Source organism: Homo sapiens, chromosome 2 (genome assembly GCF_000001405.40).
Source record: "Homo sapiens chromosome 2, GRCh38.p14 Primary Assembly".
NCBI classification, from domain to species: domain Eukaryota; kingdom Metazoa; phylum Chordata; class Mammalia; order Primates; family Hominidae; genus Homo; species Homo sapiens.
This window is the reverse complement of record NC_000002.12, coordinates 196,292,869-196,320,022: the sequence shown is the minus strand read 5'-3', so window position 1 is coordinate 196,320,022 and position 27,154 is coordinate 196,292,869. Positions and strand designations below refer to the sequence as shown.

The window sequence follows — 27,154 nt, the reverse complement described above, 5'->3', positions numbered from 1 at the left end:
TAGAAAGCCCTCAGAATGACTGATTTCTTTGAACTTATTGGTGGCAAAGCAAATAAGTCATAAAACGTTCACTTATTATTTCTGGTTAATTTTTTAGAAATGCTGTTTTCTCATTCAGATGCCTCTCCAGAAGCTGTTGGCACAATACTTGGAGTCAATTCTGTGAATGGAGACTTAGGTAGCCCTTCCGATGACGAGGACATGCCAGGGAGCCATCACGACAGCCAGGTGTGCTCTAATGGGCCAGTTTCTGAGGACAGTGCTGCCGATGGAACCCCCAAGCATTCATTCAGGACTAGCTCCACTCTGGAAATAGACACAGAGGAATTAACCTCTACGTCTTCAAGGACCTCACCTCCCAGAGGACGTCAGGATTCACTCAATGATTACTTAGATGCTATCGAACACAATGGCCACTCCAGGCCGGGGACAGCGACCTGCTCTGAGAGGTCCATGGGTGCCTCTCCGAAACTGAGGAGTAGTTTTCCCACTGACACAAGACTCAATGCCATGCTTCATATTGATTCAGATGAAGAAGATCACGAGTTCCAGCAAGACCTGGGTTACCCATCTTCCTTGGAGGAGGAGGGAGGCCTGATCATGTTTAGCAGGGCATCCAGAGCTGATGATGGAAGCCTGACATCTCAGACAAAGCTGGAGGACAACCCTGTTGAGAATGAGGAAGCCTCCACACACGAAGCTGCTTCCTTTGAGGATAAGCCAGAAAATCTTCCAGAGCTTGCAGAGAGCTCCTTACCTGCAGGCCCAGCCCCAGAGGAAGGTGAAGGCGGCCCAGAGCCTCAACCCAGTGCTGACCAGGGCAGTGCTGAACTGTGTGGCTCTCAAGAGGTAGATCAGCCCACAAGTGGCGCAGACACAGGGACTTCCGATGCATCAGGAGGAAGCCGAAGAGCCGTCAGTGAGACCGAGTCTCTCGATCAGGGCTCTGAGCCTTCCCAGGTGTCCTCTGAAACAGAACCCAGTGATCCTGCCAGGACAGAGAGTGTGAGCGAAGCCAGCACCAGGCCTGAGGGAGAGAGTGACCTGGAATGCGCTGACAGCTCCTGCAATGAGAGTGTGACCACGCAGCTGTCCTCTGTGGACACACGGTGCTCCTCTCTTGAGAGCGCACGGTTTCCTGAAACCCCAGCCTTTTCTTCTCAGGAGGAGGAAGACGGAGCCTGTGCAGCAGAGCCCACCAGCAGTGGCCCTGCCGAAGGGTCGCAGGAATCCGTGTGCACTGCTGGTTCTTTACCTGTGGTACAGGTGCCCAGTGGGGAGGATGAAGGGCCAGGGGCAGAATCGGCCACTGTACCTGACCAGGAGGAGCTGGGGGAGGTCTGGCAGCGGAGGGGGAGCCTGGAGGGAGCTGCAGCTGCTGCCGAGAGCCCACCGCAAGAAGAAGGCAGTGCTGGGGAGGCCCAAGGCACCTGTGAAGGGGCAACTGCCCAGGAGGAGGGCGCTACTGGAGGTAGGATATGGACACCACTGTGGCTCTTGGCTCGAGCGTAGCTGTGCAGAGAGAAGTTCTGTAGTTTTCCCCTCAATGTAAATAAGGCTGCAGGTTACATATGACCTGAATTCCTCACCTTGAGGTTCAGCAGGCAAGAAGAGAGGCAAGATTGAAAACAGGGCCAGGAAGAGAAGGAAACAGGTAACAAATGAGTGGGCAGCTGAAACCCTTCCTCTAGATTAGGCCTCCTGTTTCTGAGCGGGGAGACCTTGGGACTTAATCACATAGCTAGGAAGAAGGCAGCATGGTTTGCATCCAGATGGGCTTGAGTTCAAATTCAGTGCTCTTTTAAAAAATGGCTCTTCTGCTGCTGAAGTAACAGGCCTGTTAAACAGCAATCTTCAAACTTAAATAATGGGTCTCTATTGGAACCGGGGTTTGTAGATACACAACCAAACAGGCTGGCAGCTTCAACCTTAGTGTAATCTGCAAAGGTTATGAGAAACACCTAGCCACTCTTCCTTTCTAAAATTTCACAGTGGAAGATTAATGTATGCTATGCATCAAAGGTAGTGTTTTTGTCTTCTACAATTTAGGAATGTCAACTAAGTTAGGTGATGTCTTCTGACTTGGAGAATAAGCTGTTTTTGTATCCAAGGACACAAATTTACACCTGAAATTTGTATTACGCTCAGTGAATGCAGCTCTCTAGAATGATTCCTTTAATATGCCCTGTAAGGATGCATTAAAAATCAAAGAGCAATTTCATATGTCTGGCTGGCATAACTCAGAAATAGGAATGATTTTCTTTTTCTGTAATGTATTTTTCTACCTACATGATCCCCTTCTTTTCTTCCTCCTCCTTTTTTTTTTTAAATTTTGTTTCCTTCATTATATTGTAGCCACCATGTGACCCTAAAGCATTAGCGCATGACCAGGACAGAGGCCGTTATGGGTGAGGGATGAGGCAGGGGAAGCTGCAGGAGCGGGGGATACATGCAGAGGACATTTCTTCAGGAAGCCCTCTTCTAAGCATTCACCTCCTATTCTCTTCTTTTGTTTCTAGGTCCTCATATGGGAAATGAGACTAAACAGAGAAAAGAAACTAGCCTTGGGAATTATGTTAGGTTTTTTGTATAGAGTCTGTTTTGATACTGAAAGAGAAAACAATACCTGGTAACTTTCTACCTTTAATCCTAGGTTCTCAAGCCAACGGCCACCAGCCACTGCGATCACTACCTTCAGTGCGCCAGGATGTTAGCCGGTACCAGAGGGTGGACGAGGCTCTCCCACCAAGTGAGGACCTGTTAGTTAAAAGGGCCCACCTTAATCAAACGGTGAAAGGTGACAGGCAGACCCATTCCCATGAGTCTCAAAAGATGGATACATGGTCTTCAAGCGGAAGGAATCTGGGGGTTGCCACTTGACATAGCAGGTGTAGTCCGGGACGTGCTAGGCCAATGACTCTTCTCTGGCACCATTATGCTGAAAGAAAGGGCAGCTGTAAATCCTGTGTTGCCCATGGGGTAAATAATAATGGAGGTAGATCCAGATATTTTGGGAAATTGGGTGCATAATAGAATTGTTTTAAATTATGCCTAACCACAGCATGAATGTTCTTTCAGCTAATAGACAAATTGGTACACTCTCTTAGAAAAACCTCACTCTATGTAATATACTGCCTTTTTGTTCACTTACAGCATTTAAAATCATTAAGCACAAGGTTCTGATTTTTTTTCTTAGGGATATGCGAGAAGTATTGTTAATTTCAGAAATTAGTCTACTAGTTATTTGGGATAGGACAATTAGCTGGGGACTTGAAAGACATTTCATTTATTTCACTTTCAGAAAACACTTAGCACTTAAGGAGAAATGGTGGAGGATTAGGGATGCTGGGATATAGTTACATAATCTGTATTCAAAGGTATGAGTGATACCCTTAGCCAATCATAATCCAAATGAAGTGTAAACTCTATTTAAATTTCGACAGTCCTTTAAAGAGATGTAGCTCTATGAGAGCAATGCATTTTGATGAATATTGATAAAGCCTGGTAAACATTGCTTTAAAAAAAACACTGGAAGGTATACCCTTTTGCCTTACCGCTTTCCCTTCTTGCTCACCCCCTCCACTTACCCATCTTATATGTGACCATGACAACAGGCTGATGCTTTGGTTCCTCTGTTTTAAAAATGGTGGAACATAAAGAAGGGAGGGGACGCGTTTAAAGGGTTACAATTCTGAGTGATTAGTCTGGCAAGTAGTGACAAAAGAGCTGAATGGTACTATGAAGAGTTTATCAAAATATCAGCTTAATCCTTTTGAAATTCTTTTGGGCACAGATCTTTCCCTTGTTTGTTTATTTGGATAACTAAGGGCCGTGACTCATAACAAACATATTTTAAGCAGTTTAAAATAAAATGGACTGAGAGATTAATTAACCTTGTATCATCTTAAGCAGGTAGAGGGGCCCAGGGACCCGAGAGGGCCACAGAAAACTTCCTTATTGATAAAACAATTGGTAAACCTTTAGAGAAAAGATGAGTCAAAAAAGGAAAATGTTTCTGGAAGATATTTAGGTATAATTGGAGCAAAACAAATTCAGAACACTAGGAGAGAGTTCTGGGAGAGCTTTATTTTTATGTATATACAGATTAATAGTCATTTAGAGTTTCAGAGGGTTGGACAGGAGCATTGCAGAAGTGTGTTGATAAATCACGTCTTCCTAGCCACATCCAATTGCTGTAATTTTTGCTGTATACAAGTTTGGTCTCCTGATTGTATTTAATAAAGACAGATACTTTCCTGCTGAAATTATGACCATAATTCATAAATGACATAAGATGTTTGTGACATCTCAATGTATTGTTTAAATATTGGTGTTTGCATTACACCCGTAGATACATCTTGGGAAATTTTTTTTACAATTGGCAGTTCCTTTTAATGAGTTGATGTATTTGCAAAAGTAAAGGCAACTTAGTGACTCATGGTATTTAATCAGTGACTGACAAACAGGAGAAAAATTCTTAAGAAGTGTTCCCTCTTATTCAGAGGTTTTCAGTGATGGCAGGGGGTGCCTCCCACTACACGATGTTTAGAGTTGAGGTGGGGTGGCCTTTCAGTATAACAGTGGTTGAAGGGTGCTACTGGCATTTAGTGGGTGGGGGGCCAGTGTATCAAACATCCTGCAATGGGGAGACAGTCTGATACAACTAAGAATTGTCCCACCCAAAATTCAACAGTGTGCACTCTAAGAAACACTTATCTGTGCTAATTTATTTAATACTTGGTAAATAACTTTTTTTTGTAAAATATAAACAGAATTTTTATATTTTAAAAACTCAGAAGTGAAGATGCCTCCCTCTAAAAATATAAGTTATGCACACACACACACACACACACACACACACACACACACACACTCATACACTCGTGCTGTAGGACCAAGCAACTTGCAAATCTGGGGATGTGTATTCTCATGGATAGGTTTTGGATTGTGATCTGAGCATACCTGATTGCTGTTCAGCTCTGTCTCCCATTCCCATGTGTGTCTCATCCTTGTGACAGTGTTAATCGCTTGGCTGCCCTTGCTACTTGTCTGTCCTCACCTCAGCTGGATCCCTGCCCTCCTTTTCTAACTGGACAACTTTGCTACCACCTCTGGTCATGCGTCTGACTTACAGCTGTGGCATCTACACTCTGTGGTGTCTTGTGGCTTCTGGGCTCAGCTTGGGGTGTCTGGCTGGATCGTGCAGATTGGCCCATCTCTTAAATGACCTGATTGAATTTTAAGGCTAACAGTTGTGATTTTTAACACTGTTAGTTATTATAACTTCATTTTTGCGGTGATTTACACTTTACAAAGCACACTTTTGCATGCTTTCCTTTATTTTTTGTTCTTTCAATAATTTTGTGAGGTAGGTGAAGCAGGTCTTGTCTGTAATTAATAGGTTGTTGCACAGAAGTCAGCTAATCTGATTCTTTTATTTTATAGTTGCAGAAACTGAAGCCCAGATAAATTAAGTAATTTGTTTAAGATTTCATGCAAGTAAAAGTTGACACAGAGTCTCAAATATTCCCTCTCCTCTATCAGGTATTCTGATCTGAGATTGGAAGGGAAGGGCCTATTGTGTGGGTAGATGAATGTAAATTCTGAAAGTCTGGTTTGAGGCAGAGGGTGGCTTACACGGTGATATGTTATTTATTGGGCACCACCAATGCCTCACATCAGAGGGTTTGGGGGTTTCACTGAAACTTCAATATATTGCAGTGCTTTGAGGTCAGACCCACCAGGAAGACTCAAAAGGTGCTCAGCTTTCTCTTCTTCTGGGATAGAGTTATGCAAAGAGGCCCTCCCCAAGGAGGCCCCTCACCTATTAGGGAAGTGGCTGCAGGGGTTTGAGCCAACATCATGTGGTCCAGATAGATGTGCTCTATTCAGCATCTGTATTAGACCCAGCAGCACCTTTCCTCTCTGTGCAGGTCACTCTCTTTCTACCCTAGGGACAAGCTACTGAAGCAGTGTAGTTTGAGCTTTGATGGCCACCATGTGGCATGATCATGGTGCACTGCGGCCTCAAACTCCTGGGCTCAAGTGAAGCTCCTGCCTCGGCCTCCTGAGTAGCTGGGACTATAGGCAAGCATGATCATGCCTGGCTGGTTTTTTTGTGTTTTTATTTTTTGTAGAGACAGGGGTCTAACTATGTTGCCAGGGCTGGCCTTGAACTCCTGGCCTCAAGCAATCCTCCCACCTTGGCCTCCCAAAGTGCTGGGATTATAGGTGCGAGCCACTGTGTCTGGCTTTGATTCTTTTTTCTTTCTCTTTATCATTATTATTGTTGTTCTTGTTATTTTAGCACCTTTTCATCATATTTTCAGGGATTTACTTGTTTGCTTTCTTCTTTTTTCATTCTTATTTCTCCCATCTCAAGAAGGGAACAGATCTTGGACTTAGTACTAAGTTTGATCAGTGGTGATGGTGATCTACCAATTGGTTCTCAAAATCTTACTCTTGCCTTAGACCACACAGAGTGCACTGTGGCCTTGGTGGCTTGTGTAACTCCAGCTCTGGTTGAGAGATATTCTAATGATTCGTAAAAAATAAGAAAGTTCCAGGCCTTGGAGTCAGCATGACACTGTTGAGAGCCTCCCAGGGAAGTAGCTTGGACTCAATTATGCCCAGAATGCCTTAAGAATTTTCTGTATCTTCTCATTCTGATGTTACTGATGGTCCTGTCAGCTAGAGGTAGTTGAGGGCTAAAGCCCTCTAAAATATTATCGGTGTGACAAATGTTGGTCTTTTTAGCATTAAGATGAGTGAAAAAACAATCGCCAGCCCAGCCCCTCTGAAAAACTATTTTCTTTTTCTCTTATTGATTCCAGTGTAATTGTGACTTAACCCATTGCTGCATTGGAGACAATATGGAATTGTTGTATAAACGTTTTTCCCCCAAAATGGTAGTTTTTCTAGGAATAGGCCTAGATTCAAGATGAACAGTCTGGGTTAGTGGACTCTGATAGGATCCCAGGATGTTGCATATTGTTAGGACTCGTCTATTACTTATGTGAGGGGTTCAAACTATGGGGGAACATTTATCATTTTTGTGGTTGTATACTTTCATTATTAAAGTATTTTTTAAAATGAAGGCCTAAAACCATGCAGTGAATCTGAAAAGTATAATTAATCTAAACTTAGAATTTCTACTATGTTTAGGGTTAGGGACTCTTATTCTCTAAGGTTACAACTTTGTTTTGAGGAAAAAATGGATACTTTTAAACTAAAAAGCTACCTTATTAAAAATTGAAGATTAAAGTGCCAAATATGCAACTACTTGACTTTTTAAAAAACTTTTTGTTCAAATAAAATAGCAGAAAAGAGCACATATGGCCTCCCGAATTCTTTCTACTAAACATACATGGCAGGCCACGCCATCAGCATTCTAGAAGTCCCCTTTGTACCCCCTTTCAATCACTGACCGCAACTCCGTATGGGGAAATGGACCTACCGTCCTGATTCCTAAAGTCATAGATAAGTTTAGCCTACTTTTGTACTTTATACAAATGGAATTTTACTTCCTTGAGTGTTCAAATAAGAAAAAAATATTTTTAAACACTGTCATCTGTCATTTATCACAAAGCTTATAATTTTCCTTGAAAGTACCTTTAGTTCATTAGAACTTAATCATCTCGCCATTTTGGTGATGATACCTGTGGTTATTATAGTTTTTTATAGTGGATTTATACATTTATTTCACAACAATCAGGTGCTTGATTTTACTAAATCCAATGATAACCAATTCAAAACCCTACCCATAGCACCCCCCCACCCATCCCTGATACGTTGTAATTCATGCTGTTTAGTTGTTAACTTCTCAATATCAGCATCCACTGAGATGTATTCACACCTCATCCGATCATAAGCCAAGTGGTCCAGTGGAGACCGAGGTCTGATTTGAAGGGAGTGGGAAAGGATGATGAGATGAGCAGAGGGATCACAGAAACAACCCTGCGCCCTTCCCACATATGTTGATTTTAAAAACTGTAAACTCTGAAGACCTTACGTTCTACCTGCCTCTGTTCCCTGCTGAGGAGACCAGTGCTGTGACAGTAACCTTGGAGTAGTTTTACCCACTTTCTAATTCTCCGACTTTCCCTTCATGTCCAGCCACTGAAAAGCGCCTATTTATATTTAAGTCTTAGGGTGTCTAAGAGTCTACTTGCACCTGGATTTTAGGCAAGGTTTAGGGTTTTGTTTGTTTGTTGTTGTTGTTGTTTTGAGATGGAATCCAACTCTGTTACCCAGGCTGGAGTGCAGTGGCGTGATCTCAGCTCACTACAGCCTCTGCCTCCTGGGTTCAAGTGATTCTCCTGTCTCAGCCTCCTGAGTAGCTGGGATTACAGGCATGCACCACCACCCCTGGCTGAATTTTGTATTTTTAGTAGAGACAGAGTTTCACCTAGTTGGCCAGGCTGGTCTCAAACTCCTGGCCTCAGGTGATCTGCCCGCCTTGCCCTCCCAAAGTGCTGGGATTACAGGTGTGAGCCACCGCACCCGGCCGCTGAGGTTTAGTTTCTTGTGAGCCCCCATTTCATGGTCTCTGAGAAATCTAGCATTTGCCTCATGGGTTTGTTCAGCAAACTAGCTACTGTTTTAAGTTCTTATTAATTTGTGTCAGTGTTGCTCAAATTTTAGTGTGTCTAGGAATAAGCCGAGAAGGTTGTTAAAAGTGTAGATAACTGAGCCCTAGCTTCAGATAGTCTGATTCTGAAGACCTGGGGTGCATCATAGGAATCTGCATTTTTATTGATCCTCAAAGTGATTCTGGCACATGTTGTCAGAGTCCACCTACCTTGAGAAACATTTCTGTAGGTAATAGTTTTCAAACCTTATTATTGTCATGAAGCTATTTATGCAAATGAAATATTATGTGGAACACCAATATACACAGCAATAACATTGGAGCTGTCATGGCTAAAATAGGATTGTCAGGTGTTTGTGGAGCCCTGTCCCTCAGGGACTCAAATCTCCTGGCCCTGTAAGGCTAGCCTAGACATAAAATGTTACTAGGTTCTTGCTGAACTTAATATAATAAAATGGGCATAATTTTATAGATTCCTAGAATACTAGAACTGGAAGAGACCTTTGCAATTGTTTGATTGTGTCCTCTAATTTTTCAAAACTGTGATTCATAGGGGTGTAGTGACTTTTTTTAAGGTCTTGTAGTGAAAGTGTGTCAAGCCACAGCCAGAAATCAGGCCTTCTACCTCCCAATTCAGTGCAAAACACACACACACACACACACAAAATCGTTGCTCTCGTTTTCACTGCACCCTGATTATATAACATATTTGACAATGTGGCAAGACAAGGAAGTAAATGTTAAGTCCTCAGCCTTCTAACTCTGCCTATCTCATTTTAGCATTGTCTATCTGAAAGAAACTTTGATGCTATGAAATGAGTTTTCATATGCTTTCTTATACCAAAAACAAACCAGGCCCAATATAAAGACATATAAGATGTTGGAGCAGTTGTACCCAGCAAAGTAACTTTGATAGATACAACAGAGAGCTAACCTTCCTGCAGGCACCTCTGCTGCCTTTGCCTGGGTAGAATGATATTGACAGCGTGGGTAGAAGTGGATATGTAGTTCATGGATAAACCAATAGCATAACAGCCCTTCCTGATTCAGAGCCAAGCATTCACTTGAAATTGGCACTATAGAATTTGTCTTTATGGGGTCTTGAGTAATTACATCAGTGTGAAGATACAGTATTTGATAGGGATAATTTTAATATGTGTTCAGTGTTCCATGACCTTAGAAAGCAAATTTTTGGTCCTTGTTTTCTTATTCTCCCCATTGCACATTGAAAGGTCTTTATTGAACTATAAATTAAGGCTATTACTGGCCTTTGTAGAAGATGAATACAAGAATCATTCTTTTTTGTGGCTTTGTGTCATTTTAAATTATTTTTTCATTTATTACATGCTATGTGCAAGACACATTAATTTGGCTGTTCTCTCTTCCACCTAGCCATTTTGCTATACATATAGACCTCAAGCAAGCCATAGTCATATTTCACTTGGTAAATTCCTACTTTGTTAGTTCCAGGAAAAAATTCCATCTTTGAGAATTTCTTTCACTGTTTTTGTCAGAAAATGGAAAGTATGCAACAATATGTTTTCTTTTCTGCCATAACTGCCAGAAAATTAAGAGCCAAATTTTAGTAATAATCTAATCTTGGGAGTTTGGCAGCATCTTCTCTCTCTGTTTCCTTTAGCTGGTCTAGTTGGTCTCTATTTTTTTATCCTGAATTGACCTATTCTACATTTTTAAAATTGGGACTACTGTAAACATTCTTTGGAGAAGAATTGGTCATTTCTTTTCATGTGTATTTGATTTGATGTCTATGTGCCTGAATTACCCTGACTCCGATGAGAAAGGAATGAGATGGGGTAATTGGTTCCCAAAATCTTTTGAGATGGAAAAGCATGCAAGGAGCAGAGCAAAACAGTGAAATAAATCAAAGTGTTTTGAAAAATGGTTCCTGAAGATGCTTTAATGTACTTGCTATTTGTGAGCATATCAACAGGCTGGGCGTGAGGTCTTTTGAAAATGTCTTATTGATGGGACTGCAGTGCCCAAAGAATTCAGATTTGGCAGGGTGTTTCATGGTAGAGTCTGTGTTACCTTGGAACATGAATGGCATTGAGTTGTTTGCTGTCTGTGTGGTGCTTTTGTTCAGCCCAATTCCTCTTTCTTTTGCCATTTGTCATAAATTACAATGTGCTGAGATCAACAAAAGATGTCTTTCTGCTCCTAGCTGAGGTGATGGCCTTCAGCAATGGTCTGGTGCAGGCTGAGCTCTACCATGCAGGTCTTTCCAACCCTAAGGACTCTGTTGGGATACTTACCCTGTTCCCTTACAGAGCAAATGCCATAGGTGGTCAGGAGAAAATATGCCCTCCTTCTGGTCTCCAGGATTAGCCCCACTGTGTCTGTTGATAAGCATGTGATCACATGGACAGTTTTGGGATAGTTGAATGTGTCAGGAGAAAAATGCTTATTAATTTCAAAAAATAACTTACACAAAAATATAAATGCACAAAGAATTTTCCTGGTTAAAGAATAGATTTCTGCTGTTTTCATGTTTCCTGTGCAAATTACCCTTCACACTTGTAATAAGTTTCAAAATTTTGCCTTTTGAAAAGATCAGCTCATGCTCTGTGGATTTCAGTAGGTGAATGGCCTTTTAGAGAGTCACAAAGGTGGGGTGTCTGACTCTGAAGACCAATCTGCCTTCTGAACATTCACTTGTATATCTCTCTAGAAAGATTTAACACACTTAAAAATAAAATTAATCTTTTAAAACGTTATGTTTATTTGAGGTTGGGAAGCAAGAAATTGCACTTGCTCTGAAAATGTAGTCATCTTTGGAAAAGTGCAAATAGAAGTTTGTAGATAATGATACTGTTTCATCACTAGGCGAGCATAGTTATTTTAGTTATTTTTTTCTGAGGACTAAATTTACTACAATTGTGCATGAATATGCGTGTGGAAGTCTCCAGCTATGAGGCTTTCATTGAAGCTAGAAAAGACATGGAGAAATCAGGTTTTTTTGGTGAAAATAAACATCAATACCCATTTTGACGTGAATATCTGAAGTGTTATGAAACCAACTACATATATTTTTAAAATGCTGGGGCTCATACGTGAAGGGTGAGCACTGTGGGCAAATTTGGAAAGATTCTCTACATTTAAAGATTATTTAAGGGACTGGTATTATATGCACAGGATAGGCTAAATAATCAGTCACAACAGATTCTGGAGTGAACTGGGGAGAAGTATGGGATAGTGCAGTGAGATGTATGTTATTAGTCTCAGATTATAGCATGTCAGAGAAAGAAAACACATGCCAAACTTAATGAACCCTATTAATCATCTCAGCTCCTCCTCCTAATTCCTTTCGGTGCCTCACTGCCATTTAGACTGGGAGGCACGCATTGACAGCCACGGCAGGATCTTCTACGTGGATCACGTAAACAGAACCACGACGTGGCAGCGACCGACAGCTCCCCCAGCCCCGCAGGTGCTGCAGAGATCTAACTCCATACAGCAAATGGAGCAGCTGAACCGGCGGTGAGGATGAACATTTTGCTGTGACTGTTGTATTTTGTGGTTGGGCTAATTTTTACTTGGCACAAAGTAGAAGACATGGTTGTCTCTTTGATCTTTGTGTGTCCTGTCGTTAAAGTGTAGCTGTTACCGCTTTTGATTCCCAGACTTCAATTGGACTTCTCTTGATTAAAAAAAAATAATAATACTCACCCACATATATACCTTGTTTGGAAACTAGAGAACAAATAAATAAATGTGACCCCTTTAGTCAGCCCAAGCATTGATGTTTACTAAAGCAGAACATATACATTTGTTATTTAAAGCCAAACATCTTTTCTAGTCTCTAGAATCTTTATTTGTGGCTTCTCATTATTATCAACCTAAGCTTTTTAGATGAGTCATTCTTTTTCAAGAATTAATTGCTGTGGAACATAAAGTTTTTTTTCCTTTAACAATATAGGAATTTACTTTTCTTTAGTTAAGGGCCACAGAATTTTTTTAGTGTTATTAATTTGCCAGGAAGATGTTCCCCAAACAATGGACAGAAGAAATTTAATGCAGTGTAATTTAAACAGCAGGTGGCCAAGAAGTCCAGGGAATGGGGGTTGGAGGAGGAAATAGTTGAAGCTGAGAAGATAGTGAAAAGTTCTAGACTCTTGGGGAGCAGTTGAGTCCCATCTCTTAAATGCTGCTGGAATGTAACTCTAGGCTCATGATTTTAGATATCAGAGTATCCGCAGAACCATGACCAATGAGAGGCCTGAGGAAAATACCAATGCTATTGATGGGGCAGGGGAGGAAGCTGACTTTCACCAAGCCAGTGCAGGTAAGAGCTTTGGGCTTTGTTTTTGTAATTTCATAAAAGTGGAAAAAGAAGCAAATAAGGATTCCCAACAAGTAAGGCTTTTCTTTTGGAGAACTTTTGCTCTTCAATAAGATCTGGTAATCCAACTCAAAAAACAGAATTCACCAGAAACCTCTTCTAATCCTCAATGTTTAATTAATATAAAGAAAGGAATCACAAAACCCAAGTAGAATATAAATTTCTTTAATTTCTTGATCTGTGGGATACTGGAAAAAGAATCAGATCATTTAAAATACGTAAGAATGCATTAAAATGTTCATAGTAACTAGAAATATTACTTAACTGAATTTTAGTGTAATTAAGAACAGCCATGTTTTATGTATGAATTTACAGCAAAGAAAAAAGCATTGGGGGATTAAAATGATGACACATGATGTAGGTATCCTATGATTCTTTTGAAATGCAGACTGAAGTGAGTAGATAGTTTTCACATCATAGAAAGATTTCCCTGACCGCCTCTGTGGTCTGCCCCATCTAGATTTCCGACGGGAGAACATCCTGCCTCACTCTACCTCCAGATCCAGGATCACGTTGCTGTTACAGTCTCCCCCCGTGAAGTTCCTCATCAGCCCAGAGTTCTTCACCGTGCTGCATTCTAACCCTGTGAGTAGCGAATCTGAAAGAGTGTGAAGGAAAACAGCAGGCCAAAGCAAATGATCGTTGTTTCTGTAGTAATAGCAGGAATGATAATGGCGAATGTTTCCAGAGCACTTAGTGTGTTCCAAGCTTTGTGTTGAGCACTGTACACTTTAACCGGTTTAGTCCAAAGAAACCGTTTGAGTTCATTGGGCTGCTATAACAAAGCACTGTAAGCTGGGTGGCCTATAAGCAACAGAAATTTATTTCTCATGATTCTGGAGCTGTGAAGGCCAAGATTGAGGCACTGGCAGATATGGTGTCTGATGACAGTCCATTTCCTTGTGTGTAGATAGCATCTTCTCCCTCCATCTTCATATGGTCTAAGGGCGGAGGGTGCTTGCTCTCTCAGGCTTCTTTTATAAGGGTATTAATTCCTAATTACCTCTTAGGTCACCTCCTGCCCCCATCTCCTAATACTATTATATTGGTGATTAGGTTTCAACATATGAACTCTGGGGGACACAAACATCGGACCCATAACAGGAGGATTTAAAGGATTATTCCACGAGTCTCCGAGGGCTGAGGGAGTGGCTTACTGAAGATAGTAATTAAAGGAAGGTCATTTTAACTGCACATGAAGTGATTTAGAATGAGGGAAACATTGGCCATAGAAGTCTAGCAGGATATAATCCATTCATCATGGCATGTGTTGATAGGAACCTGTACTAGGATATAAGAAAATAGACAAAAAGGATTCAGCATGAGAGGAATCGCAGACAGGGAGTTGACAAGATTTGGTGGGTAAGTAGGCAGAATAGAAACTGAAGAAGTTGACCTTGAGTATTAATAATAATAATACATAAATAATGAACAATACATAATTAATAATACTAGGAAAATTCGAATGAGGGACTTGTTAAAGGAATTGAAGGAGAACATATTGAATTTAACAAGACATATCCTACACTTTCAGAAAAACAGAGTAGATCATAGAGAAAAATAAAAGTCAACATAGTCCTATCACCAGGAGTATGTGGTGAGGTAATTAGTATATATTAATACATATTTACTTATGTTAATATTTTTCTGCCTTCTTTAGCTTTGCTTTACAAGTATAAACATCTGTCTGCCTTTCCTCATCATTGTCTCCTGGTTTACAGGTTTAGCTTGGAGCAGAGAAGACTTGGGAGGAGAGTAAGCAACGAATAACATGCTAGCTATCCTCATATATTATGAGAGAGGGGTTAGATTTACTGAGCACTCAGCTTCGCAAGTTTGTTGATGATTATGTGCTAGGCACTGAGCTAAGACCTAGGGATACAGAGATGACAGCAACTGTGGGCCCTGGCATCCCAGACTTGAGAGCAATTATAATGTCATAACCAGAATTACAAGTGCAATAATGGATGGCTATAGAAGATACACTGCTGGAGTGGACGATTAACTCCAAAGGGAAGGCACATGGAAGGGGCCATAGACAGGTTTGGATTTGAGATTAGTTTTAAAGGCTGATTAAGAGCTTGTCCCAGAAACAAGATGGGCAGGAGTACTCTAGGTAGAAGAAGCATCATTTGCAAAACAATCGATTCGTGAAGCTGCAAGTCTGTCTTGATAATTACTGCAGAAGTTCTAAAACTGGATTATTAGTATTGTAAGCAATTCGGTGTTGCTGGTGTATTGAGAACATAGGACACTAGTGAAAGTCAGATTTGAGCCTGGGAAGGGATACAGAAGCTAGGCTACACAAACCTAAACTCATATATGGGACAATTCTAGGAGGTGACAGGCTTTCATGCAAGGCAGAATGGGCTAACATTTAGAGTTGTCACTGTAACACAGAAAAAAATCATGCTTTAATAGGAAGAGACTCAGACTTGGAGTCAGAAGGCACAAGCTCCCCTTTGTTTTTTGTTCATTTGTTCATGCCTTCATTTAATCAGTATTTATTAAATGCCTGTGATTTGCCTGGTACATTCTAGACTCTGGGAATAGAGTGGTAAATAAGACAGAGTAGAATATAGTTAACAGACTAGTGAATAAAAAAGATAATGCAGGTACTGTAGTGTGGTGTGAGGCAACTGAAACCACACACTGGGATAGAGTTACTTGGGGATGAGGTGGAGGAGGCACTATTTTATTTTATTTTATTTTTTAATCTCAAAATCTCACAAGGAGGCACTATTTTAGATCAGGTGGACAGGAAGGCCTTTCCAAGGGAGCCACATTCAAGCCGTCATAAAATGCCCAGAAGCCGATAAGGTAAATGTCTGAGAACAGAACCTGCCTTGCCAAGGAAGTGCAGAGACTCAGGGGTAGGAATGAGTTTTCTGTGGCACATAATATGGTCAGGGAAGCGTGCAGGGCTACAGAAGGTTGGGCTTGCATGATCTGGCAAGGTATTTGGGCTTTATTCTGAAAGGGTTTTCTATATGGGAGTAATTTAGAGTTTTTTAAGTTCCTTCTAGCTGTTATGCAAAGAATGGGTTTTAGAGGGCAAGCTTGGCATCAGGGAGACTAAGTGAAAAGCTACTGTGGTAAGGCATGGAAGTGGCTTGGGCTAACGCAGTTAGCAGTAGAGACGGTGACAAATGGATGAATATTGGATATATTTTGAAGACAGAGATGACATTCTTGCTAATAGATTGGAATATGGGATAGGAGAAAAAAGGGCTTCAAGAAGGAGCAACTGTAGCTAGACTAATAAAGTAGAAAAGAGATAAGACTCAAATAAACACAATCAGAAATGATAAGGGACAGATTACCACTGACCCCACAGAAATACAAACAACCGTGTCAGAGAATACTATAAACACCTCTATGTACATAAACTAGAAAATCTAGAAGAAATAGATAAGTTCCTGGACACATACACCCTCCCAAGACTGAACCAGGATGAAATTGAATCTATGAATAGACCAATAATGAGTTCTGAAATTGAGGCAGCAATAAATGGTCTACCAACCAAAAAAAGCCCGGGATCAGATGGATTGACAGCTGAATACTACTAGAGATACAAAAAAGAGCTGGTACCATTTCTACTGAAATGACTCCAAAAAATTGAAAAGGAAGGACTCCTCCCTAACTCATTCTATGAGCCCAGCATCATCTTGATACCAAAACTTGGCAGAGATATAACAGAAAAAGAAAACTTCAGGCCAATATCCTTGATGAGCATTGATGCAAAAATTCTCAATAAAATACTGGAATCCAGCAGCACATCAAAAAAGTTATCCACCACAATCAAATTGACTTTATCCCCAGGATGCAGGGTTGGTTCAACATATGCAAATCAATACATGTGATTCATCACATAAACAGAACTAAAGACAGAAACCACATGATTATTTCAATAGACGCAGAAAAGGCCTTCGATAAAATTCAACATCGCTTCATGTTAAAAACTCTCAATCAACTAGGTATTGAAGGAACATACCTCAAAGTAATAAGAGCCATATATGGCAAACCAACATCCAGTGTCATGCTGAATGGGCAAAAGCTGGAAACATTCCCCTTGAAATCCAGCACAAGGCAAGGATGCTCTCTGCCACCACTCCTATTCAACATAGTATTGGAAGTTCTGGCCAGGGCAATCAGTCAAAAGAAAGAAATAAAAGGTATTCAGCTAGGAAGAAAGGAAGTCAAATTATCTTTGTTTGCAGATGACATGATTCTACATCTAGAAAACCCAGTCCTCTCAGCCCAAAAGATTCTTAAGCTGATAAGCAACTTCAGTCTCAGAATACAAAATCAGTGTGCAAAAATTGCTAGCATTCCTATACACCAACAACAGGCAAGCAGAGAGCCAAATCATGAATTAACTCCCATTCACAATTGCTACAAAAAGGATAAAATACCTAGGAATACAGCTAACAAGGGAAATGAAGGACTTCTTCAAGGAAAACTACAAACCACTGCTCAAAAAGAAATCAGAGAAGACACAAACAAAAGGAAAAACATTCCATCCTCATGGATAGGAAGAATCAATATCATGAAAATGGCCATATTGACCAAAGTAATTTATAGATTCAGTGCTGTTCCCATTAAACTACCATTGACATTCTTCACAGAATTAGAAAAAACTATTTTAAAATTCATATAGAACCAAAAAAGAGCCTGAATAGTCAAGACAATCCTAAACAACAAGAACAAAGCTGGAGGCATCACACTTCCTGACTTACAGCTATACTAGTAATTTCTAACTATACTAGTAACTTACAACTATACTAGTAACCAAAACAACATGGTACTGATACAAAAACAGACACATAGACCAATGGAACAGAATAGAAAACTCAGAAATAAGACTGCACACCTACAACCATTTGACCTTCAGCAAACCTGACAAAAACAGGCATTGGGGAAAGGATTGATTCCCTATTTAATAAGTGGTGGTGGGAGAACTGGCTAGCCATATGCAGAAAATTGAAACTGGACCCTTTCCTTACATTATATACAAAAATTAACTCAAGATGGACTAAAGACTTCAATGTAAAGCTGAAAGCTATAAAAACCCTACAAAAAAATCTAGGCAATACTATTCAGGACATAGGCACAAGCAAAGATTTCATGACAAAAGTACCAAAAGCAATTGCAACAAAAGCAAAAACTGACACATGGGATCTAATTAAACTAAAGAGCTTCTACACAGCAAAAGAAACTATCATCAGAGTGAACAGACAACCTACAGAATGGGAGAAAATTTTTGTAGTCTGTCCATGTGACAAAGGTCTAATGTCCAGAGTCTACAAAGAACTTAAACACATCTACAAGAAAAAAAAAAAAAAAACAATCCCATTAAAAAGTGGGCAGAGGATATGAATAGACATTTCTCAAAAGAAGACATACACGTGGCCTACAAACACATGAAAAAAAGCTCAACATTACTGGTCATTATAGAAATGCAAATCAAAACCACAATGAGATGTCATCTCATGCCAGTCAGAATGGCCATTATGAAAAAGTAAGAACACAACAGATGCTGGCGAAGTTACAGAGATAAAGAAATGCTTCTGCACTTTCGGTGGGAGTGTAAATTAGTTCAACCATTGTGAAAGACAGTGTGGCGATTCCCTAAAGATCTAGAACCAGAAATACCACTTGACCCAGCAATCCCATCACTGGTTATATAACTAAAGGAATATAAATCATTCTATTATAAAGATACGTGAACATGTATGTTCATTGCGGCACTATTCACAATATCAAAGACATGGAATCAACCCAAATGCCCATCAATGATAGACTGGATAAAGAAAATGTGGTACATATATACCATGGAATACTGTGCAGTCATAAAAAGGAATGCAATCATGTCCTTTCCAGAGGCATGGATGGAGTTGGAAGCTATTATTCTCAGCAAACTAAAACACAAACAGAAAACCAAACACCACATGTTCTCACTTGTAAGTGGGAGCTGAATGATGAGAACCCATGGACACTGGCGGGGAACAACACACACTGGTGCCTGTCGGGGGTGGGGTAGGGAGAGGGCGAGCATCAGGGATAATAGTTAATGGATGCTGGGCCTAATACCTAGGTGATAGGATGATCTGTGCAGCAAACCACCATGGCACACATTTGTCTATGTAACAAACCTGCACAACCTGCACACATACCCCTGAACTTAAAAGATGAAGAAAAAAAAAGAGCAACTGATTGCATGGTAGTGTTCATGAGTTTTCTAGTATATGTTTAACCACTGGCTTTCTGGAGAAAAAAGTGTGTGTATATTTGTGTGTATGTAGGCTGTGTTTATACACACACATATATGTCTGTGTATAAATATATGCATGTGAGATATATGTATATATGTGTATAGATATAGATATAGATATATATGTATAGATGGAGGCATCACACTTCCTGACTTATAATTTACAAATAATAGTAAAAGAGACACTGAATGCTTTTGTTGATTTTTGCTACCTACAGTGGTAATTGAAGAACAAGTATAATTCCAACAAGAATATTTTCATTTGCATTAACAAGTAAAGACAACAGTGTAAAAGGGAGACATGTTGGAGTTTCATATTCCTTTGTCAATAGTTTTTGAATATTAGACTTACATTTCTTCATGTTATGTGTGTTTGTGCTATTTGCAATGTAACAGCACAATTTGAAGTTTCATCTGCATTCTAATTTTCTCCATTAATTTCTTAAGTCTGGACCTTAAGTAAAGAAAAAGGCAGTAAACTTTTCCTATAAAGGGCCAGAGAGTAAATATTTTAGGGTTTTGGCCCAAAGACAACATGTAAGCAAATGGCCCTGGCTGAGTTCCAATGAAGCTTTGTTTACAAACACAGACAGCTAGCCATTGGGCCTGTAGATTGCCCACCCCAGTCTAGACAGCCTACAGAACAATAAATCAAGCCCTGATATTGCATTTCCTGATTTCTGTAGTGTTAATACGCCCACTATGGCCAATGTCAAACCACCAATGACATCATGAAGCACAGAGTTCTAACTTCTCTCTTTGGGCTGCCGTCTTCATACAAGTTCCTCATCGCTGCATTGTTTCAAGTAGAGACTGGATAAATAGTCACTGAGTTGTGGTATAAGGCTGCGGGAATTTTTTTTTTTTTTTGAGACAGAGTTTCGCTCTGTCGCCCAGGCTGGAGTGCAGTGGCGCCATCTCGGCTCACTGCAAGCTCCACCTCCTGGGTTCACGCCATTCTCCTGCCTCAGCCTCCCGGGTAGCTGGGACCAAAGATGCCCGCCACCACGCCCGGCTAATTTTTTGTATTTTTAGTAGAGACGGGGTTTCACCATGTTAGCCAGGATGGTCTCGATCTCCTGACCTCATGATCCGCCGACCTCGGCCTCCCAAAGTGCTGGGATTACAGGCGTGAGCCACTGCGCCAGGCCCAAGGCTGTGGTTTTTAAACTTGGTGACTTTAAAAAATAAAATGCATATTCTTGGTACCCAGATCTTAGAGATTCTGGTTCAGTAGGTCTGGAGTGGGTCCCAGCAGTCTGTTTTTATTTTGCTTTGTTTTGTTTTAGGCCCCTTAAGTGATTCTGATACAACTGTGGCCTGTAGTCTGGGAACTCCTAGGATAAAGAGATTTTGCATTAAATGTCCTTACCGTGTTTGTTACAACTATAACTCTCCTGGACTTTTGACAACTAACATGTTTTAACAGTATGAAAATACTAAGCAGCTTACAGGCTTTTTTTTTTTTTAACTTATTTTGTTTTCGTGTTTTTATCGTGTTTCCTTTTTCTTTAGTTGGGCATGATTTTAGAATTTATTTTGCTGGATAGTCTATCTTGATTTCAAAGTATTCTTTCTAAAGCATTTTAATTTTTTTCTTCCTCTTATGAACTGCATTTATATTAGCTAAAAAGATGATCCATGCTGTACATTTATACATTTCTGTAAGACTTAAATTCTGTGGGTTTAGGAAGTATTATTTTCCTGACTTATATATGGCAAATATTGAAGTAGCTGAATTTGTCTTGCTAGAAGTCTCAAGGTATGAATTAATGGAGATAACTCAGACAATTTTTTCTAAAGGGCATTACTTGCTGGAATGTTTTCTTTTTTCCTAGATTAACAGAAAATGTTATAAAATAAACTTTTATTTGATTTCTGTATTTTAAGATTTATTGTCTAGGGTTTTTTGCTAGAATTGTTTATGATCTATACCTCTTTCAGTTACTTCCCTGTTCGTATTATTGAAAATGTTCAATATGCAAAAGGAATGTATTTAATAATTTTCCTAACTATTTTTTTATGACTTGAAGGTATCAGTTTATGTTGAAAGAAAGTCATGAAAAATAGGTGGGAATTGAACAATGAGAAGAACACTTGGACACAGGAAGGGGAACATCACACACCGGGGCCTGTCATGGGGTAGGCGGAGTGGGGAGGGATAGCATTAGGAGATATACCTAATGTAAATGACGAGTTAATGGGTGCAGCACACCAACATGGCACATGTATACATATGTAACAAACCTGCACGTTGTGCACATGTACCCGAGAACTTAAAGTATAAGAAAAAAATAATAAATGTAAAAAAAAAGAAAAATAGATTACGTGTAGTTGTAATACCTAGTAATCCTTACTGGAAAGAAAAGTGTTAAATAGATATATGGTTGTCATAACACTAAAGTAAAACTTGAGAAAGAAAATTTTGTGGGTTTTTTCTTTCTTTTTTTGCATTGTGGTTGCTTTAGGAATTATTCTACTGCCCTCTAATGGTTGTGATCAGATTTCTTTCAAAATTGTCCTGACAAACGATTTCTCTTGTTAATTCAAGATTTAGTTATTAGTGCCATGTCTTTTATAGCTGATGTGCCTATATTTGTCTAATTAATGTCATACATAAATATATTTCATTATATTCAACTGAATAATTTTCCAACATACGTGCCAAATAATTACTACTGTGGCTTTTAATGAGCTCTAAAAATACATTAATTCTAGCGTTTAAGTTTCTTAGTACTTAATGAAGAAAAATACTGTTCCAAAATCCATACGTATATTCTTAAAACTTGGGAATTCCTGCTATTGCAAAATAGATGAATTGATCATTTGTAGATAGTTTTGTTAATGTGAAAATTCCCTTCCATTTTACTCTAGCTAGATGAGAACAATGTAAATCCTGTAAAATTAAAAATATTATGAAGACAGACTGTATAAAACAGGACTGTTTTGATATCTCTGCATACATATTATGCAAACATTTCTTGATTTTGTATATATTAAATTTTGTTTAGTGAATAATGTATACAAGTGCTCAAATCTGCTCCCTTGTGAATATGAGAGATGTTTGCTATAGATTTGGTGACGTGCTTTTCCAAACCTGAATTCAGAATGCCTATTCTTGATGAAGGCTTTCTGAAATATGAAAGAAAGACTTTATTTATCAGTAATGTACTTAACTATGTTTTGAAAACAACAGAATTAGGTGAAATTAGGACTGGGCCAGGTAATCTAGGACATTTGGTCATCATAACACTAAGGAAAACCTGCAAAAAAAGGAGAGGGGATTGATTATTATTTCCATTGTGGTTGACAAGAACTAAGTATTTGCATGTAATTTTCTTATTCTGCTGCCAAATGGCAATGACATTTACTTCTACAACCTCAAACAAACATGTAACCAAACAAAAACACATTTAAGTTCTAAGGAGTGTTATTTAACAAAACTCCACTCAAGAAATTCAGTTGATCATTCACTCAACCATCAAGTGCTTATTTCTTGCTAGGACGATGAGAAACAACCAGGAGGGAAGTTGGAACAGGGATTTTTGGAATTGAGAAGGAATAACTAAAAAGAATAGTTAAATTATGTCAAAGGAAAACAAAGTGTTGTTTCCTTTAGAGATCATTTAAAGGGGCTTTGTCTACTATTAACAATTACCAATTCCTCTTAACTACTCGAGTCCACGTGCAGTGGCTTCCCAGGTGAATTCTGTTCATTATCATGAGACTATGTTATGAAATAGGTATCATGGGCTCTCCTCTAACCTACTTTTGTTTCAAGTAAAATATCAGATTCATTTACTGCATCTTTTTCTGTAAGATAAGCAAGCAAACAAACAAACATAGAAAAGGATCCTTACCTAGTTAGAACCACTAAACCCCAGGAGAACAAAGGAAAATATTTTCTCTTAACCCACAGCTTTGTTAATATCAGCTTCATGAAGACTAAACTCTGTCAACCTAATCCTATCTGTTTAGTGTTTTTGGCTCTTTGGACTGCTCCCATTCTTACCTCTGTTCATTCTGTCCGTGTGTTTCAGTATTTTCACGACTGTCGTGGCCTTTGTTTTTCCAACTCTTTCTGCCTCTGGTGAATCTCTTCCTTCCACCTCCCCCTATAATTCTCCTTCTTCATCCTTTTGAATGATCAGGCCTTGCTCATCTCTGTATCCTCAGGGTTTAGCACAGGGCTTAGCACATGGCTTAGCACATAATTAATGAAGCTTAGGAGACCCTTGTTCAGTTTATAGAATGTGGGATGCTGGGCCAGGATCTTCAAAGACTAAAAGTGGTGAACAATTTTGCCACTTTCTTTATCTGTTATAACACAGGTATGATAGATGTAATCCCCTATATATTTTTACTTACTTATAGCCTGTATTCTTAAAGTGATTTTGACCTTTTCAAATTACTTTACCATCCTTTGTCCCACTGGATTTGAATCTCACGTGCCTATGGAGAAAGCAAGGGAGTTATTATTATCCCATATTACAGTTAAGCAAATTGAGACAGAGATTAAGTAGTTTTCTTTGTCTCTATGAGTGACAGAGCTGAGACTAGAATCTGCACTGTAGTTCTATATGAAGTGGAGTATAAATATCCTTCCCAAACTATAGATATATAAATTACATATATATATACACACACATAAACTATATATACATATCTATACACACACAGTTTTTGCATAAACATATGAAGTTATTCAAACATAGTTTTTTTTATAGAAACATAGCAGTCTAGAAGTATGTTCCTGTTTGGCTTAAGAGTTTTGTATAGACCCTAACAGTCATGTACTTACTATTCAGACTTGAAAAGGCTGTGGATCTAAAGATTGTTTACTAGTTACTGAGAGAAATCTCCTGCATTGAATTACTTTGGTAGATGCTCTTTGCAAGATCAGATGTGTTTGGCACCATACTACATGTTTCATTGAGTGGAGAGGAGGAAGATGAAATGACATAATTAATTATAAGACCAGCCTTAAGATTTCTGTGCTTAAAGAGCTATTCAGCCCCAGGGAATTACTTCAGGTCTGAGGCTGGGATGAGTTTCTTAACTTAATTGCCACTGCTTCTTGCCCTAATGAAGTTCTTTTTTAACAAAGTGAGGAGCATTTCTGGTGCTCTAGATAAGAAATCAGAATGTGGCCTATTTAGTTATTTTAGTGAGAAGAGGGAGCAGTGAAGGCGATAAAGAGGTATACCTATTTAGAACAATGGGTAATGTAATGATTTATCCGACAGAATTATCCCCCAAATAATTTGTCCCTGAAGAGACTTAATATTTGTTTTACTCTTAGGTAGTAAGACCTGAAAGCTCATTATGATCCCTACACAAACTAGTGTGGTCTCAGGACTCTAACTTGCAATGACTTATGTGAAAATATATCAGCAACACTGAGCCAAATGCAGAAAACAGTTGCCTTGCTGATTGTATTTAAAACTCAAAGCAGAGTCAGCCAATAGAGCCAAAACTGTTACTTAGCTGAAGTTAGGTTTTTTCTGACACTGCCCAACTTCTGTTATTTCCTTCTCTGCTTTCATGGTATCACTTTCCTATCCTCTCATGCTCTCTAATTGCCCAGAGCCCATGCATAGGCCTGCCTGCATTGACAGTACTCTCTGCTCTGAACCACACAACTGCTCACAGCCATCAAAACCTCCTCTTATTTAGCCTGTCGGTTGAAATATGACTCAAAAGTATTTTATACTCAAGTGTACTGAGGAATTAAGGTTCAAGGATGGTTCATTGTGGTCTTCTTTCTTCTTCCCTTCCTCCTCCCTTCCTTTCTTCTTTCCTTTAATTTGTTTTGATAGGGAACAAGTATTTAATGACGGTAAATCAATCAGAATAATTTAGGTTATACTTCAATAATAATGACCAACAAATCTCAGTGGCTTAAGCTAACAAAGGATTACTTCTCATTCCAAGTCAGGTTATCAGGGTCCCTGTGGTCACTCAGGGACCCAGAGAGCCAGGCTGGGGAGCATCCCTGTTCAAACATTGCCACTTGCTGTGTCAAAGGGAAGAAAGCTCTAGAGGGACTCACATCAGCAATAAATGCTTTGACCTGGACATGACACATCTTGAGGGATCCTAGAAAGACTGGAGCAATGTTGACTGTCTTCACACTCATTCTTCTTTGATCCCTAATAACGAACACAGTACTGGGTACAGCAAAGACAATAAATGTTTATTAAAATGAAATCATTTCCAGAGACTCTAGAGTCCTTGGGGTTTGCCTTGGGCTGTCTTAGACTAAAATAGATAACAACCCATAAAGTTTAGACTAAAATAGATAACAGAACCCATACGATTTAGACTAAAATAGATAACAGAACCCATAAAGCTGGAAGAGGTCCAGACTCAGTCTAGTGTCCCTGAGACACTAAAGATAAAACGAATCCAAAGCCCTTTGAATCAGTCTGAGAAGAATAGAGTTCCAGGATGATCATTCACGGCCTGGTCAGTTTCATGAATATCATATTCCCTCTGATGATTCAAGGAAACAGCTGCCATACAGTTATTCCTCTTCTGCTGTTTTGTGCATGGTATTATGCAATAAATATTTATTGACTGACTCATATGTGGACAATCATGACATAGTCAGTTTGTGGAATCTTCTTTAAATATCATAGAAATGAAGACTGTAAGGTTTTGGACAAAACAATCACTTTTCTGTGTGGTGGTATAGTGGAGTTTTTTTAAACTTGCATTTCATTCATATACATCCAACCAAATATACACAGGGAAAAAGAGAAAAAAAGAAAAAAGAATGAGATGTACAGCCCAGGCACCTCAGCCTGCTATTCCATTCACCAAGCTTATATGCCTCTATGAAGGGTGAGATTCTAAAACCTCAGTCTATTGTGATCTCAGTTGAGTGTGATGGTCAGTGAGAGCAACTCATTCCATTGCATGTCCTTCTAGTATAGAAATGTATGGCAAGCATTTTTCCATGCAACTTGGCCCTTAAGTGTATACTAGTTGTGTCATCTGGCACTCACTCAGAGAGCCAATAACCTAGTCCAATACTGGGGGAGAAACTGGCTATGTCAGGGCTCTCTGTAAGGTGGCATATTCATCGCCAGTGTGGTATAATTTTGACTGTGTGTTTCTTTCCTAAAACCAGCTTCAGGATTTAATGGCCCATGTGCAGTGAGACTCCACAACATGTTTGTTCTTTAGTAAATTAGTTCAACCATTGTGGAAAACAGTGTGGAGATTCCTCAAAGATCTAGAACCAGAAATACCATTTGACCCAGCAATCCCATTACTAGGTATTTACCCAAAGGAATATAAATCATTCTATTACAAAGATACCTGCACATATATGTTCATTGCAGCATCATTCACAATAGCAAAGACATGGAATCAACCCAAATATCCATCAATGATAGACTGGATAAAGAAAATGTAGCATATATATACCATGGAATGCTATGCAGCCACGAAAAGGAATGAGATAATGTCCTTTGCAGGAACGTGGATGGAACTGGAAGCCATTATCCTCAGCAAACTAACACAGGAACAGAAAACCAAACACCACATGTTCTCACTTATAAGTGGGAGCTGAAAAATGACAACACATGGACACAGAGAGGGGAACAACACACACTGGGGCCTGTTTCAGAGTAGGACTGGGGGAGGGAGAGAATTAGGGAAAAATAGCTAATGCGTGCTGGGCTTAATACCTGGGTGATGGGTTGATAGGTACAGCAAACCACCATGGCACACGTTTACCTATTTAACAAACGTGCTCTTCTTGCACATGTACCCCAGAACTTCAAATACAAATAAAAGTTAAAAAAAGAGAACTAGACACCAGCTGTGGATACTGCCTTACCTTCTGTAGTCTTTATGTTTCATTTTGTTCAAGATATTTTGCTCTGTCTGCTGTTTCCATACATGGGTCTAGAGTTCTGTC

The 27,154-nt window shown here is 39.5% G+C and overlaps 1 protein-coding gene across 12 annotated transcripts in view, besides 1 other annotated feature; it reads left to right on the top strand.

The window, feature by feature from the left end:
- The window catches only part of HECW2 (HECT, C2 and WW domain containing E3 ubiquitin protein ligase 2), a 399,483-nt gene that overhangs the window by 273,532 nt on the left and 98,797 nt on the right, over window positions 1-27,154 (top strand). For 6 of the 12 annotated variants that reach the window (NM_001348768.2, XM_047445197.1, NM_020760.4 and 3 more), the window contains 5 exons: window positions 119-1,471; window positions 2,654-2,749; window positions 11,938-12,088; window positions 12,790-12,893; window positions 13,411-13,535. In NM_001348768.2, the coding sequence (NP_001335697.1) occupies window positions 119-1,471; window positions 2,654-2,749; window positions 11,938-12,088; window positions 12,790-12,893; window positions 13,411-13,535 (1,829 nt within the window). Of the gene's footprint in view, window positions 1-97; window positions 1,472-2,653; window positions 2,750-11,937; window positions 12,089-12,789; window positions 12,894-13,410; window positions 13,536-27,154 lie in introns of all 12 variants that reach the window. The other 6 variants (XM_006712646.4, XM_024453020.2, XM_024453021.2 and 3 more) reach the window with 1 other exon arrangement.
- Window positions 1,213-1,714: an enhancer, noted in NCBI's record as "H3K4me1 hESC enhancer chr2:197183033-197183534 (GRCh37/hg19 assembly coordinates)". NCBI's record gives its function as "activates a minimal SCP1, AML or CMV promoter by ChIP-STARR-seq in primed H9 embryonic stem cells {active_cell/tissue: H9 hESC(primed)}" and the evidence as "EXISTENCE:reporter gene assay evidence [ECO:0000049][PMID:30033119]".